Source organism: Homo sapiens, chromosome 20, assembly GCF_000001405.40.
Source record: "Homo sapiens chromosome 20, GRCh38.p14 Primary Assembly".
Taxonomy (NCBI): domain Eukaryota; kingdom Metazoa; phylum Chordata; class Mammalia; order Primates; family Hominidae; genus Homo; species Homo sapiens.
In genome coordinates, this window is record NC_000020.11 from 58889039 (window position 1) to 58904684 (window position 15646).

Consider the following 15646-nt stretch of genomic DNA (forward strand, 5'->3'; position numbering starts at 1 on the left):
CCATTTGGGTGCGTCCCCGGTGGGCCGATTTTTCGCGCTTCCCCTTCGGTTTATAGGGGCCGCTGCTATGGGTCGGTCCTCTGAAGAGGCTGGGGCGTCATCGGGGCCGGTTAGAAGCTCTGCTCCCCGGCGGGGACACTCAGTCGCGTCGGCACCGCGGAGCGGGCTGCGTCAGGTGGCTGGCCGGCGCGGCGCTCCCCTGCTCTCTGGCTCCGGGCTGCGGCGCGGCGGCTGGAGCGAGCCCCTGTCCCGGCGCGGGGCGGCGGCGGGCGGCCGGCAGGCGCTGCCTTGCGTGTGAGTGCACCTCACTCACATGTAAGTCGGGGAGCGCCGGGGCCTCCCGCGGAAGTGCGAGTCGCCCGGCGCAGGCAAGAGCCGCCGGGTCCGGGACAAGGCAGGGGCGCCCGGGCGCCGCTGCCTTGCCCCGGGGCGCCTCCGGGCACCCCCCAATTCTCTCTCTTTTCTCTTCTCCATTGGCGTGCCCAAGAGCCAAACCAAGGAGCGCCTGAGGGTAAACAGACTCCTGCCATCCGCGCCTTTGCACTTTTCTTTTTGAGTTGACATTTCTTGGTGCTTTTTGGTTTCTCGCTGTTGTTGGGTGCTTTTTGGTTTGTTCTTGTCCCTTTTTCGTTTGCTCATCCTTTTTGGCGCTAACTCTTAGGCAGCCAGCCCAGCAGCCCGAAGCCCGGGCAGCCGCGCTCCGCGGCCCCGGGGCAGCGCGGCGGGAACCGCAGCCAAGCCCCCCGACACGGGGCGCACGGGGGCCGGGCAGCCCGAGGCCGGGGGCAAGCAGGGAGCCCGGGCCAGGCGCGAGCCGAGCTCCCCGAGGTGGCCGGGCCACCATGCTGAAGATGGCCATGAAGCTCAAAGCCCGGGCGGCGGAGAGCGAGAAGAAGACGGCCGCGGCGGCTGCCGAGGTGGCTGCCGAAGCTGCGGCGGCGGCTGCGGCGTTGGCCGAGCCGAGAGAGCCGCTCGCGCCGCGGAAGAGCGGGGACCCCGAGAAGCTCGCGAAGAACCCCAAGAACCCGGCGCGGGAGGCGCTCCCCGAAAAGTTCCTAACAGACAAGGAGCGCAAGAAGCTCGAGAAGAAGCTGCTGGAGCAGAGGCGAAAGGAGGAGAAGAAGAAGGAGAAGGAGAGGAAGAAGATGGAGAAGATGCTGAAGAAGAAGAAGAAGAAGGTGCCAGAAGCCCAGGAGGAGGCCCGATGCCCCGAGGCCGCCGCCGCCGCGGCCGCCGCCGACGACGACGAGGGCGCCGAGGAGGGCGCCGTCGGGGGCGCCGAGGAGGGCGCCGCCGCCGGGGGCACGAGTAGGGCCTGGGCTGACTGGGACACGGACTCGAGCGACGAGGACGACGCCTACTACGCGGCGCCGCGCGTTGGGGGCATCGTGTGGCGGCCCGGGCCGCTCAAGGCTGGCGCGCTGAGCGCCCACCTGCCCCTCGTGGTGTTCCTGGTCTTCTCGGTGCGCAGCCCCTCGTGGGTGCTCAACTTCCTGCTGCAGAAGCGCACGGAGCAGGGCCGCGGCTGCGGCTTCGTGTTCGGGGCGACCTGCTGCTTCCGAGTGTTCCTGGGCTGCGCCTTCTTCTCCTACTTGGGCGGCCGCGCCAAGCGCAGAGGCCGCGGGCGCTCCGGGGCCAGAGGCGCCTTCGGCTCGGGCCATGGCGCCCGGCGCCGGGGGCGCGAGGAGCGGCTCATCTAGTCAGACCCCCCACCCCGCCACCGCCACCAGACACCACCATCGCTGTGTAGTGTGGGTTTTTATTCGTGTTCGTGTGTGTGTGTGGACACATTTTCCTTTTCGGTTGCTCTGTCCTTTGGTTCGTGCTCGCCTCGCTTTTTCCACACTCCTGCTCTCTGGCTCTCTGTGTCTCTCGCTCTTTCGAAAATTTTCCTAAGTCCGGGCGCGCGCTCCCTCCCCTTCCGCCCACCCCAGCCCCTCGGCGGCGCCCGCGGGAGGGGGAGGAGGCCTCGGGGGCGCCGGGCGACGCGGTCCGGGGGGTGGAGCGTTGGCGTCGTGCGAGGGGTCGTCACTGGCGCGGAGACGCCCCCTCTCCCCCCTCGGCTCAGCCGGGCTGCTGCCCGAGCCCGGGGGGTGGGGGGCGTCTCCCCGGCCCGTCCCGTCCCCGGCCGGGCGCGGGCGGAGGGACCCCCTCCCCGGGCTCCCGGGGGGCCGCCTCCCTCCGCCGGCTCCCGCCCTCCCAGCCGCCGCCGCCGCCGCGGCCGCTCCTCGGCCCTCCTCCTCCTCCTCCTCCTTCCACCCCCCTCGCCGCCGCCGCCTCCTCCTCCCCCCGCCTCCCCCCGCCCGCCGCGGCGCTTTTGGCTCGGGGCGGCGGCGGGGGCCCGGCCGAGGCAATAAGAGCGGCGGCGGCGGCAGCGGCGGCAGCAGCTCCCGCAGCTCCTGCTCTGGTCCGCCTCGGCCCGGCGGCGGCCATCAGCCCCCTCGGCCTCGGCTCGAGGGGCGGGGAGCTGCGCGCGCCCCTCGGTCCGACCGACACCCTCCCCTTCCCGCCCGTCCGCGCGCCCCGCGGCCCGCGGCCCGCAGTCCGCCCCGCGCGCTCCTTGCCGAGGAGCCGAGCCCGCGCCCGGCCCGCCCGCCCGGCGCTGCCCCGGCCCTCCCGGCCCGCGTGAGGCCGCCCGCGCCCGCCGCCGCCGCAGCCCGGCCGCGCCCCGCCGCCGCCGCCGCCGCCATGGGCTGCCTCGGGAACAGTAAGACCGAGGACCAGCGCAACGAGGAGAAGGCGCAGCGTGAGGCCAACAAAAAGATCGAGAAGCAGCTGCAGAAGGACAAGCAGGTCTACCGGGCCACGCACCGCCTGCTGCTGCTGGGTAAGGGCGGGCGGGGGGCGCCGGCCCCGGCCCGGGGGCCCTCGAAGGGCGCCCCGCAGGCCGCGCGCGCCGAGCCCGCCCCCCGCCCCGGGCGCGCGCTCCCGAGCCCCCCGCCCGTTCGCGGGCTCTGTCTGTGGGGGGCGAGGCCGGAAGGGGGACCCAGGGGCGCGGATTCGGCCGGGCGGGGGCTCAAAAACGGGGCGGGGGGCCGTGGCGACGCGGGCGCGGGTCCCCCTCCCCCGGCCTGCCCGCTCAGTGTCTCTCTCTTGCTCTCGCTCTCGCTCTCCCCCTCTTTCTCTCTTTCTCTCTTTTTCCGCGAGGCCTACACGACGCCAGGGGTTTGGGTGCGTGTTGGGGAGGGGGAGGGGGAGCCCATGGGGCTCCGGAGACTGCGACAAAAAGAGGGTTTCGGGGACAGGAAACCGGGTGGCGGGTAGAGGGAGGGGGACCCGCCTCCGTGGGGTGTGAGATTTGTTGGGAGAGGGAAAGAGGGGAAGAAAGGGGCGAGGAGAGGAGGGGGTGACGCTGGGGGGCGCCGTGGTGGCGGAGGGGGCCTCGCCAAAGGGAGGCTTTGGCGGGGAGAAGTGGCCGAGGAGAGTGGGGGGGCTGGTGACATCAGCCCCTCGGAAAGGATCGGAGCGGTAAAGGTGGTGCAGTGGGGGGGAGGGGGCGCAAGGGAGTCGTGGCGCCGGAGTCGGGAGGGGGGCGGCGAGGGGAGGAGGGAGGGCGGTTGCCGCTGGGCGCGACTTGGTGCGTTTCGGGCAGGACCGACTGACTGTGTGTGCGCGGAGCAGACGTGTCCCGGGCCAGGCCGGGCCGTGGAAGGAGGAGAAGGAGAGTCAAATAAAATAAGACCACCCCCCAACACCAAAAAATGGATAGAGTTAGTACGAGAAGTGCCCAGTGAAGCCAAATGACACGTCATTTTACAGTGTGACCTTTTTTTCCCCTTCCAGACTTGCAGGCTTTTTCAAAAGCAGAGCGGAGAATTAATTGTAGCAGCTGCCCCCCCCACCCACCACGAGCAGCGCCCCCCCAACACTATTTTAATAAACCATTAAAAAAAACACATTTTCCTGCTGGCTGGCCACATTGAGAGTGCTTTGTGAAAAGAAAAAACAAAGACATTCACAAATCAGATAAAACTGGAGAATGACATTTGTCTGTAAATGGCTTCTTGGTCTGGAAATGGCGTGGTTTCTTTTTTTTTTTTTTTTTTTTTTTGTCCTCCTCAAGGTGGGAGGGGGGATTGAGAGTGCTCTAAGGAGACTTTTCCTCCAGGTGGGAAGAGATAAAAAGACATTAATTAGTTGTTTATCAAGTGACATTTAGTTGTTTGGTTTTGGGTTTTCTTTTTTTGATTGCGATTTTTCCTCTGATTAAAAAAATAATAATAAAATAAAAAAAGGTTAACTATAAGGAGATGGCCTTTCCTCCTTTTTTTTCTTAAGGTGCTGTTTTGGGGGAAAAAAATGTAATGAAATGACCAAAAGAATTACACAGCATTAATTAAAAATGGAAGTTTTCCACTTCCTTGATAATTTGGCTATCTGAATAAATTTGTGAATTTGCTAGGTTAAGACCTAGTTCGTGGTCACATTTCAACAAAACAGCTTGAGTATAAAGAAAATAATAAAAGGCTGTTCTTATTTATTTTCCTTTGGTGGCTTTTGGTTTGCTCTTTTTGCATAGGTCATGACTTTGTTCTCCTGGGTCCAGATTTATAAAAGCAGAAAATTACTAATTAAGTCAAAATAAGTGTCTTTGGTGTTTATGCATTTGCAATTTCAGTAATTAAATGGTACATGTGTTGCTGTCTTGTCTAAAACTTTTAAAGGCAGAATTATGCTGTTGGGATATTAGTATGCGTATAACTTGATTTCAAAGTATAAATCTGGAAAAGTCTAGAATCTTTTCTGTGAATGCTATCTCAGTACTACTTTAAGTCAAGTGTGATGCTAATGATATCTTAAAATTTCCAACACCTTTTGTGCAGTGATCACAAAGTCTCCACTTAATTTGAGACTGTTACTCAGAACACGCCTTGCGTCACGGGGGCTAATCTAAGTGTCCTAGTCTATATGACTACATTACATCATGATGTATTGATTGCCTCTGGCCTAGGAATCTGCAGCTTAAGCCAGTGACACAATATTTTGCATTTTTAAATGGTGATTCTCACCAAATAATGCCTCCCCACAAAAGAGGAAACCTAATAATGCCCCAAATCCTCTTTTTACTCCATCTTAATGACATAAAAATTAAGTGAATTAGAGAACTACAATGATCTTAAAATAATTTTTCAGCCACATTTCATAAATGTGGAAACTGAGGCACGGATCTGTTTTTGCCTATGAAAGATAGGTCCTGTAACTGTTACACAGTTTAACACTTCTGAAATTAGAATATTAGAGATCCTGCTAAATATTACGTATTGTTTCCTTGGCCTCTCTTAATAGTGCCATTTATATTTTTAATTTACCAGAGTTAGGCTCATTAAGATAGTGTTTGCTTTGAAATCAATGTTTCTGTGGAAACTAATTTTAACTTTTACAGATATTGATTACGGGCTTGTGAAAAGGCAAGTAAAGGAGGAATGCTGTGCTATCTGGGCATTAAAACAAAACAATACAATTAAAAGTTAAAAAGAAAGAAAAAGGTAATAACAGATTTGTGTGGAAGGAGGGCAAAAAAACTTCACACGTGGATTATCTGTTGGAGAATGTGCATTGCAAAAAAGATGCAAAATAGCAATCCTCCCTCTAGCTTGATGGAAATGTGTTTTTTCCATGAAACATATATGTATTTTTACAAATGAAAGATGATTTAAAATGGAGGCATGTGTTTCTACTCTTTGAGTTGGGAAGGGCTTGGAATCTTTCAAATTCAGTACTTCCCAGGGATAGTTTTCCTTTTGATTAAAGTTTTGTTCTTATGTTACTTTTTACTGTTGTTTTTGCAGTTTACCTAATGCTAATAGGGTCTCAGGAACTGTATTTGATGTTAAAGTGTGGTTTTTCCAGAAGATGACAGATAATTGATGGTCTCCCCTTTTCCTCAGCAACATAGTTGTACCCAGAGGGAATTTATCTTTAGAAAGATATAGTTTGTGAGGAAAGAGGAGGATGGATAAGTGGATAAAATGTAATGCAGTTTTAGGGGTGGATTTTTAAGTAGCCCAAGGGGTAGGAAACCTGCACAGAAAGAAGCTGCGTTGTGAAAATGTTGAGGAGGAAAGTGCTGCATCGCTACGTGATGTGGAAGAGACTGCAGTGTCTGGGCATTGTTGGGAATCCCGGGTATTTTAACCATGAAACATCTGACAACAAATTATGTGTCTAGATATGTTTATGTGTGAATGTTCATGTATCAGGGATTCAGTTTCACAGTTTTAACTTCAATTTTCTTGTTTACCCCACAAATGACAAAATTGCGTCATTCCTTCTCTTTGCCCCTTTCCAACACCACCCCACAATTTTTTAAACAATCAAAAGAAAAATTAAAACCAGCAAACCTTAAATTCTTGTTTGTTATTTGGATGGTGAAATACTGCAGGTAGACACTGAATTGGACATTGATTTCCTTTTCTCTGCGTCGAAATGTCAAGGAAAGTTGCAAGTCTGTGATTTTGTGTTTGGTTTTTTGCATGTTGCTTCTATGGAAAAACAAAACAACAACAGCAGACCTCCCTGCCCAAAGTGTTAAAATGCCTCCTTCATAACCTGAGACTTACTTTCATTTTCTAGGTGCTGGAGAATCTGGTAAAAGCACCATTGTGAAGCAGATGAGGATCCTGCATGTTAATGGGTTTAATGGAGAGTAAGTGTCAAATCTGTGCAGGGGGGCACCAAGTAAGAGGAACAGACTTTATACTAACCTTTAGGAAGTATAGGTGGGCTTTGGGGGCTGGGCAGCCAGTTTTCACTTAATTTTTCCTGATTTACATATTAGAAAATCCTGGGAAGGGCTCTTTAGGGTCCCTCACCCCCCACCCCCTTGGATCTTTGGTGCAACAAATACTACTGATGAAAGCACCAGTGTTTGTGACAAACATCTCCCTATCCCAAGAAAATCGTGCCTGGTTGCAGGGGACGCTTGACAGCACTTGGCCCCGTGACAGCCCCTCTCCGGGCCAGGTCCCTGCCACAGTCTTCGGACATCACTGCAGTGTCTTCAACGTGGCTTTGGCCGCCCCCTCGTCCGGCCCACGCTGATCACTGCAAATTCACCCCACCCCACCTCACGCAGATTTCAATGTAATGAACCAACACAGGATGTTTTAAACTATTAGGGAAACATTGTTTCCATAATATTCTCACCAGAAACAGATGTGGAAGTGGCAGCCCGTGTTTACAGTTTCTCATTTTTTTTGTCCCCCTTTAAATTACCATTATGGGTAAATCATTGTTTCCCTTTAAAACAAAAAACAAATCAGTACCCCTGCCTACAGAAAAGAAGAGGGAACATTTATTTAAAGGATGGAAAGACTGGGAGTTAGGCACTCCCAGCCTCACTGAGGGGCATTTTTGCCTTTGAGAAGTCCTCCCAGGTATCCTGGTATAGCACAATGTGGCAATCCGTAGTGGGAATGAAGATTAAACAGGAGAGACTTTGTATTAGACCTGTGAGACGAGTTAGGAAGCCCTGCCTGGCATGGGGAATGCAAACAGGGAACATTCAATAAATCGGGGAACTTGCTTTTCTCCCCAAGACCCCAGATGGGGCCTACCCATCGTTCTCGTGTAACAAAACGTGTAAAAAAAAAAAAAGAAAAAGAAAAAACAAAACAAAAAAACTAAGTTGACCAGTCTGTTTTCACTGGTATGAGAGCATTAACCGCACTAGATTTCAAGCACCTGAAGGCACTAGTTTGTAATTACTAGCTGGTTGGCACAGTCCTGTTCCCTTTCTTAAACTTGGATTCGATTGAAAATTTAACCTTGAGTTGCTTCAGCTTCCATTTCAAAAGGGGAGTTGGAGTCAAGGTGGTAGCGTTTAATTATACCAACCACCCCCCAAAAAAACAAACAAAACAAACAAAAAAACCTTTACTAGTCACTAAGCATCCAGGAAACAAAGGTGAACTTTTTCACCTTTCAGAGCAAGGCAGGCAGCTCCTTATAGAGAATTCTAGAATTTGTTAGATCAAATAATTGTTTAGAGAAGGATGACATCACCCATACGAATAGTCCTGTTAGTTGAGGATGCTTTTTCTACTTTAACCCTGAATTCAGAAGGATTGGTTGGGATGCACAGGGGGCTTCTTCACTCATCTGATTATGACTCTCAATGGGTTATCAACATGCACATACGTGCTATTGAGTAAGTCAGCATCACTTGTCACCAACCAATTCCGAAATTAATTCTTGACACACCCCTCGATAAAGCCCTGCCAGCGGAGACTGCCATCCTGACAATAAATAAATAACCCTGAGACAGACTTCCAACCATGAATCTGTCATTTGAAGAAAAATCTTGCATAAATTTTCCCCCTGCAACTTGCAGGAGTACTTACTTATTCATGAGAGTAGTTAAGCAAAAATAATTTGACCATGTATCCTCTAGATAAATATTTTGATGAAAACTGGACATGGCTAGCATTTTTCAAAGATGCAGCAGCCACTGTTTACCTTAGCTTGAGTCGGATGGAAGCTAAGTCACCTTTGAAATAAATTACTGACAGCTTCATTACAGATTGCCCTAAAATTTAAAAATTTTTATAGAAAGGATTCTCCTCCCTAAGCGAGCCAGCCTGTAACACCAGGCAAGGGTTTTAAACCAGAACTTCTCTTTTCTGTTTTCTTTTTGGAAAGAGGAAGCAACATTCCCAGTTTGCCTTCTTTGCAGACAAGGGCACAGATACGTTAAATTTAGCCTGTGAGAGGGTTTACAGGGGTATTCCTCATGGGAGCCTAGATACCTTATTTTTATCTCATCCAACTGCCTCCTTTTTTCTTTTTCCTCACTGCGGTATTGCAACAAAAGCTATTTCCTTCTTAACTAGGAATTCCCTATGAGACAGTGACATCTGTCCCTAAAGGGTGGTCTGGGTGGTACAGGGTTCTTCCTCCCTGATCTTGCGTTTTGTTAGGGCTCGGCTGAGCTATTAAATTTGCCTTAACTCTCTGCGGGCTGCCATGCTGATTACATTTTTAAGAGTAAGATAATACTGATTTGACCTTCAGAAATACAGAGGTTGGATGCGGATTTTCTAACTCAAAACTAACTCTGTTTCTTACATTTAGTGCCAGGAACAAAACAAAAACAAAACATAAACACCATTAACATTGGTTGAACTAAGCTAATCAATTACCAAACTGTAGAATGCTGCCCTTCGGCCTTCAAGGAGGAATTCCTACTGTTTATGAAGATCGGGTTTGGGTTTTTGGTTTTTTTTTTCTTTTTCTTTTTTCCGTGGTGGTGGTGGGTGGGCTTTTGTTCTTTTTGTTTTTTCTGTGGTGGTGGTGGGTGGGCTTTTGTTCTTTGAAATTTTTTTTGCTACATCACAGTCCAGACATAGTTTAATGACAATTTATGGGGAACAATTATTTATAAATAAAACCATTTTATAGGTAGTTTCCTTCCACTGCAAGAAGTGAGGTCATTAGTTTTGCAGGAAATCCTGGGCAGAAATCTCCCCCGTTTATGCCTTTATGCCTTAAGTTACAACCTTGGGAAGATTCTGACCTGGGAGAATTAGGAGCCTTATGCGCTGCCATATTCTCCAAAGAATTGTGAGATAAATCACTGCTTTAGCTCCCTAATGCGTGTACGTTTAGTGAAAGCACAAGAAAACAATTATCCATCCCTCCTGTCTCCGACCAGAGTCTCCAGAGAGCTCTGTTAATACTGCAGCAAAGGTGTGGGATTCTTCCCCCATGGCCTGCAGTCTCAGTGGATGTTCCAATTTAGCCAGAAAGGCGACCTAAGAATTGCCGGGAGGATGGATGGCTGGCGCGCGAATTGTTGCTTTTGCTCTTGGCTGATGGTTGAGGAATGTAGAGAGACTGTGTGGGGTTTGTGTGACACTGCGGTGCCTTGCAGATTAGGTGAGCTTTCAATCTCTCTTTAAAAGGGGCGGCGAAGAGGACCCGCAGGCTGCAAGGAGCAACAGCGATGGGTAGGCACATTCAAAACCAGAAAAAATTGTTAACAAACCAAACAAACATGAAGATCATACTGGGAAACTGAGGCCAGAGACCCGGGAAGAAAATAAAAATCATTTAAAGGACCATCAGCCATATTGGCATACATTTGTGAATAACACACAATTTCCTGACATTTTGGAGCAAGTAAAGTGCGTAACATAAATTTTTTTGGCCATGCTTAAAGTAGAATGAGATCCAGCTGGGGGAAAGTTATAGATTTCAGCCTTGGATGATCAGTTTAGGATTTTGAGAATTGATGTTTTTCCATATGGTTTCTGTTTTCCCCCAGCTCTCCATTTGAACCAGCTGCTTGTTTTAAAACTATCTACTAAATTCCATCTACCCACTGGTTGGTCTGATTTTAAAATTTCAGACCTCTTTGAAACAAAATTTGTTTCCTTTATTAAAATATGCAATGCTGCACCGTCTTTAATTTTGAAAAACGCCTTGGTACCTTGCAGCAGGTCGTTAAGAATCATCTCGAAAAGCCTCTGGCCTTTTAAAAATGATCAAATTTATTTGAATCAAAGGCACTTTACGTTAGCTTGGTGGATAAGGAAATTCATGATGGCATCTTTTATTTTTCCATTCATTATCAAATTATTTTTTCTTTGCTTCCTGCATCCCCACACCCATCACACACACACACACGCACACACATGCACATGCATACACAGACACGCACACACATCACACGCACACACAGCCACACGCGCCGCGCACACACACACGCATGCCAGGTAACCACTCTAGCTCTGCTGTGTATTTAGCATGCAGTGGTGGAGTGGCTATTTCTCATGAGACCATCCAGAACCATTGACTTAGTTTAGGGCATCTCAAAGAAACAGCTTCTGTGGCCGGGGAGGGGAGGGGCAAAGATATTGGGGTCTGGGGACAAAGTAACTGACACATGTTTGTTCATCTGTTTCTTTTAGAATATAATATCCCTAGATGATGGCTACAGTTTCTCATCTTCCCGGCTATGTCCTATCACAATTTGCATGCTGGAATTGCTCGGTCTTAGGAACTTCTAATAAGAATACTATTCTGTTATCTGAGGGGGGAGGGGGGATGGGGCCCCTGCTACCTGACCTTAAACGATGATTGAAAAAACGAAAAATGAACTGAAATCCTTAATTGGCAGAAATGTAGTATGACAACTATCCAAAAAGGCATCTCTATAAGAAATGACTAATTGACAATCTGCTGTACCAAAAGTTGGCATTTGAGCAAGATATGACAAGTCCTTAGTGAGCAACCTACTGTGTACTAGATGTCCTGCTAAACCCTTGAACCCTACTAATACCTTGGCCTGCACGTCTCTCTCACTCTGTTCTGCAAGTCAATATAAGTATTAACATTCGTGATAAATAAAAATTCTCTGCATGTTTCAGCAATCCCTGTATCTCGCGTCTGTCTTCTGTCTTCCTTCCTTTGTCTGTCTTTTCCCACCAAAGCACAAGGATTAAGGTGGAGACCTGAATAGCTTCCCCCACCACTTAGTTAGCTGAAGCGGGGGGAGGGGAGGAGCTCTTAAAAACTGAACGCATCCCATCTGCTGTATACATAGAAGGGGGAGGAGGAGGAACCAAGACCCTAAAAGTACTTCCAGCCTTAGTCCCAATTTTGTAGCGAATCAGAATTCTAGCTAATGGCATATGTTTTGCCTTTGTTGAGTAGTTTAAAGACATCTAAGGAATTTTCTCTGAATTTCACAATCAACGTTAAATTCATTAAGCAATAGTAAAAGTGATGATAAACCCGCCAACCCCCAGTATAATATCTCCATCTACATAGTAATTGCTTCAATGGAAGAATTTTATGTTTTAGTATTACACACCCGAATTAGATTTTAGATTTCTATTTTAGCTGTTTTATACTTGATATACTCCCACACCTATTCACATACGTAGATGAATACTGAACACGTTCTCAAAATATCCGTATTTTAAGACGGGAAGTTTTCCAATTATCATACTACTGCTTAGACCAAAATATCAAACTGAATGAAAGAAACTTGTTTCTGGAAATACTTTCTCTTGCTGTATGCAGATTTGGATATTTAGTACCCGAATGTATTTAATTTTACTATTGTGGAACCTCAAAACCAAAGGTTAATAGCTTTCATTACCTGTGAAGTGGAGCCTGCTTTTAATGAATGGGAATAGATTTGCCCTAGGGGGTTTTGGGTAAATTCTGAATTCAAAAGTGAACATTGGGGACCATCAAACACATGTCCTTTTAATTTATAACATCTAAATAATCGATGTTAGACTGTAATACCAAGGCCGGGGATTCTTAATTTCAGAAATGAGCTTTGATTCTGCACATACAAAGCAGACAGTCGCACAGAGCGGTCAGGACTCACTCCCTTTCACTCTAAGGTGGTTGCTTTAAGAGTCTGGGGGCCAGAATCAGATTTCAGATTTGTACACAAGGCCTGAAGCTCGCTCACCTCCCTGTCATCTGTGTTTCTGAGATTCTCCGGACCTGCAGCACTTTTACTTAAATGGCCCTGAGGGGATTCCTGGCAACATCTGTCCCCCCTCCCCACCCCAGACACCCCCCACCACTAATGAGCGTGGCCCCTCTGAACTTCCCCAGCTCTTCACCCAATGTAGAAGAGCAGTGGTGCAGTGACCTGTGAAAGGGGCTTCACGTAGGAAGGGGGCGAGATGGGATCCTTCAGCAGGTGAAGGCCCAGAAGTACACAGACATTTATTCAGAAAGAATAAATTTGTAAGTATAATTCTTTGAGAAAGGAAAGACCAAATGATTTGTGGAAGGCCTGTCGACAGGCCCGCACTTGACCCCACCGTCCGTCCCCGCCCCCCACCCCTGCTGCTCCACTGACTGCCCTGCCCTGCTCGTCTGCTCGTCTGCTCTTGCTAATTAACCTCCCTTCGCCTTTCCTCTGCCTTAACTGTCGTGTTCTAGTCTGGAGAGATTATATGTTTTAATTTCTACTCCAGTCTATGAATTGGTGAATCAGCCAAGTGAATGCTTCAAAAACTGGGACTCTCAAAAGATTAAAAAATATATATATACAAACCGTGAAAAAGATAAACTCTGTCCCCTCCATCTCCCATTGGTTTCTGCCTCGGTGACTCCCCCCCTCTTGGCCTCAGTTTCCCTGTCAGAGAGGCAGGACCGTAGCACCTTTTTTCCGCATGACAACGCCCTCACCTCCCAGGGCCTAACAGGTACAGCAGGTGTGCTGTGTGTGCTGGTTCCATTTTTGGGCTATAGACCTGATGAGATACATACTCCACACAAGAGGCCTTTTCTTGCCCTCTAAAAACATAAACTCGAGAACCTTCCCTGGCTGTGCTTCTAATGAAGGCTAGTTTCTGAAAAACATACAGCATTTGGATCAGTGTAATGTGGTACAAAAATTAACATTCTGTTATGGTCCCCAGAAGCCAAAGGGTGTGTCCTTTACCTGTGGGACCAGTGACCCTGAATATAGATCATTCCATAAAGACCACGCAGGCCATCCCATGTGGCTGAGTTAAACTCAAGGAAAAGCTACAAAACCTTCAACCTCTACTTACCAGAGGGATCTGACCTCCCCTCCCCCTTAGATTATAAGGCCTTCTAGGGGGTGGAATCTTATTTGATTCCTATTGCACATGGACCAACATGCACTAACATCATGAACTAGAAGTTTCATTGCTGCTAGCTGCAGTGCCTGGAGCATCGCACATACGACTTTTTTTTTTTTTTTTTTTTTTTTTTTTGACAGAGTCTCACTCTCGCCCTGGCTGGAGTGCAGTGGTGCCATCTCAGCTTACTGCAACCTCCGCCTCCCGGGTTCAAGCAATTCTCCTGCCTCAGCCTCCCTAGTAGCTGGGATTACAGGTGCATGCCACCATGCCCAGCTAGTTTTTTTGTGTGTTTTTAGTAGAGACGGGGTTTCACCATGTTGGCCAGACTGGTCTCCAACTCCTGACCTCAGGCAGTCTGCCCGCCTCAGCCTCCCAAAGTGCTGGGATTACAGGTGTGAGCCACCGCACCCGGGCTCCTGTAATGAACTATTATAAACACCACCACCTGTGCTCACTGGTTCTCTCAGTATGCTAGCAACTGAGTTAATTCCAAGTCAAACCATGGGACTGTTTTGTTCCACCCCAACCTCATAGTGACCTATCACTCCAGCCTCACCCCTACCCAGATGTTGATAGGACCAGGAGAAGCCTTTAGGAAGTGTTAGTATGTAGTGTGGGGGCTTCAAACCCATGAAAGATTAAATGAGCTGCATGCAACTTCTGGTACAGTCATGATTGCTAAGGCAATTTGCTAATCTGCCCCGATTGGGCGTGTCCTCAGGGCACATTTGGGAGGTTATAATTTGCAACTATGTTTATTCAGCTACCTCCAATCTTTGCACAGATCCGAACCCACAACTCCCTGAAGAACAGAATACTATGCTTTTTAGTCGGGATGTCTTTATGAAAGCAGTACTCCTAACTGACATGGTGCAATATGATTTTCTTTTCTTTTCAATCCCACTGCAGTGAGAAGGCAACCAAAGTGCAGGACATCAAAAACAACCTGAAAGAGGCGATTGAAGTACGTGCTGGCTCCTTGTGCTGTCTGTCTTGTAGCGCCCTCCCAGCCAGTGCTGTTCCCTGACCGCTTTGCTAAATCATTTTCAGACCATTGTGGCCGCCATGAGCAACCTGGTGCCCCCCGTGGAGCTGGCCAACCCCGAGAACCAGTTCAGAGTGGACTACATCCTGAGTGTGATGAACGTGCCTGACTTTGACTTCCCTCCCGTAAGCTACACCCCGACTTGTGTGGCCTTAGCCCCGCCCACCTGAGCACAGTGTCCATATAGGAACATGAGTGACAGCCCTGCACATGGGCAGGAGCATCCAAACCACACTTCAGGCAAAACTACATTTCAGTGATGTCCATCCTTAGGAAAAAGTTAATTTCATGTGTAACCTTAATTTAATAATAATAATCATTAGGGCTTTGTTCAAGATGGATGAGCAAAATTCTGTCACCCCTTCTACATCTTAGCTCACCTGTCCTCACAAATAAACATCACTCTTGAATACTACAATCTCACTTTATTAGATTGTAAATTTTTATGAGGAAAAAGGTCCTGAGCTATGGCAGGCTTAATTATTCCCTCATTCACATCTTAGGACAAAACTGTATGTTAAATATGGCACACAAATACTAATTGTCCATTTACTCCACTGGAAGTGCCCTAAGGTACCTTGGGATGCCTCAGTGAAGTGCCAAATGGAAGACATTCTCATTTTAAACAGGTGACCTTTTTATTAAGAGTTTTCTAAAGTCCTTGGGGCAAATGAAATCTTTTCTCATTATTAAAAAAAATGAAATATATCTAAATCATAACTCAAAAATCATAAAATAGAACATATGGAAAAGACTTTCCTCTGGATGCACGACACTGTTGGCTCCCTAAAGAACTACTTTTAGGGAACAAAAAACTGTTCAAGCCCAAGCATATAAGTTTAGGCCCCTTCGTGGGGAGAATGGCTTATAAGCGGGGAACGGGAAACGAGATGGAAAGATGTATGCGTTTGTAAGACCCACAGGGAAGAGACTTGTCTACAGCTAAAACAATGAGTTATTGTTGCCTTTTGTCAGGCTTTCGTGGGAATTTGTGTTTGTATATTTTAGATGGACTTGG

General features: G+C 48.7%; 1 protein-coding gene across 37 annotated transcripts in view, besides 8 other annotated features; it reads left to right on the top strand.

Annotated features, from left to right (window-relative positions):
- GNAS (GNAS complex locus) overlaps positions 1-15646 on the top strand; it is a 71445-nt gene that overhangs the window by 49291 nt on the left and 6508 nt on the right. For 4 of the 37 annotated variants that reach the window (NM_016592.5, XM_047440113.1, XM_047440114.1 and 1 more), the window contains exons 2-5: positions 6574-6646; positions 9903-9947; positions 14490-14547; positions 14634-14753. Coding sequence is in view for 32 of the 37 variants with exons in the window: in XM_047440113.1 (XP_047296069.1) it covers positions 6574-6646; positions 9903-9947; positions 14490-14547; positions 14634-14753 (296 nt within the window). In the remaining 5 variants the exon portion in view is untranslated. Of the gene's footprint in view, positions 1-141; positions 512-2382; positions 2828-3124; positions 3469-6573; positions 6647-9902; positions 9948-10910; positions 11462-14489; positions 14548-14633; positions 14754-15646 lie in introns of those variants that run through there. The other 33 variants (NM_001410912.1, NM_001309861.2, NM_001077490.3 and 30 more) reach the window with 27 other exon arrangements.
- Positions 161-440: a silencer, noted in NCBI's record as "silent region_13080". NCBI's record gives its function as "represses an Ori minimal core promoter by ATAC-STARR-seq in GM12878 lymphoblastoid cells {active_cell/tissue: GM12878}" and the evidence as "EXISTENCE:reporter gene assay evidence [ECO:0000049][PMID:35858748]".
- Positions 1641-1790: a silencer, noted in NCBI's record as "silent region_13081". NCBI's record gives its function as "represses an Ori minimal core promoter by ATAC-STARR-seq in GM12878 lymphoblastoid cells {active_cell/tissue: GM12878}" and the evidence as "EXISTENCE:reporter gene assay evidence [ECO:0000049][PMID:35858748]".
- Positions 1851-2350: a silencer, noted in NCBI's record as "silent region_13082". NCBI's record gives its function as "represses an Ori minimal core promoter by ATAC-STARR-seq in GM12878 lymphoblastoid cells {active_cell/tissue: GM12878}" and the evidence as "EXISTENCE:reporter gene assay evidence [ECO:0000049][PMID:35858748]".
- Positions 2361-2580: a silencer, noted in NCBI's record as "silent region_13083". NCBI's record gives its function as "represses an Ori minimal core promoter by ATAC-STARR-seq in GM12878 lymphoblastoid cells {active_cell/tissue: GM12878}" and the evidence as "EXISTENCE:reporter gene assay evidence [ECO:0000049][PMID:35858748]".
- Positions 3451-3540: a silencer, noted in NCBI's record as "silent region_13084". NCBI's record gives its function as "represses an Ori minimal core promoter by ATAC-STARR-seq in GM12878 lymphoblastoid cells {active_cell/tissue: GM12878}" and the evidence as "EXISTENCE:reporter gene assay evidence [ECO:0000049][PMID:35858748]".
- Positions 6345-6939: an enhancer, noted in NCBI's record as "NANOG-H3K4me1 hESC enhancer chr20:57470438-57471032 (GRCh37/hg19 assembly coordinates)". NCBI's record gives its function as "activates a minimal SCP1, AML or CMV promoter by ChIP-STARR-seq in naive H9 embryonic stem cells {active_cell/tissue: H9 hESC(naive)}" and the evidence as "EXISTENCE:reporter gene assay evidence [ECO:0000049][PMID:30033119]".
- Positions 6940-7533: an enhancer, noted in NCBI's record as "H3K4me1 hESC enhancer chr20:57471033-57471626 (GRCh37/hg19 assembly coordinates)". NCBI's record gives its function as "activates a minimal SCP1, AML or CMV promoter by ChIP-STARR-seq in naive H9 embryonic stem cells {active_cell/tissue: H9 hESC(naive)}" and the evidence as "EXISTENCE:reporter gene assay evidence [ECO:0000049][PMID:30033119]".
- Positions 10132-10683: an enhancer, noted in NCBI's record as "H3K4me1 hESC enhancer chr20:57474225-57474776 (GRCh37/hg19 assembly coordinates)". NCBI's record gives its function as "activates a minimal SCP1, AML or CMV promoter by ChIP-STARR-seq in naive H9 embryonic stem cells {active_cell/tissue: H9 hESC(naive)}" and the evidence as "EXISTENCE:reporter gene assay evidence [ECO:0000049][PMID:30033119]".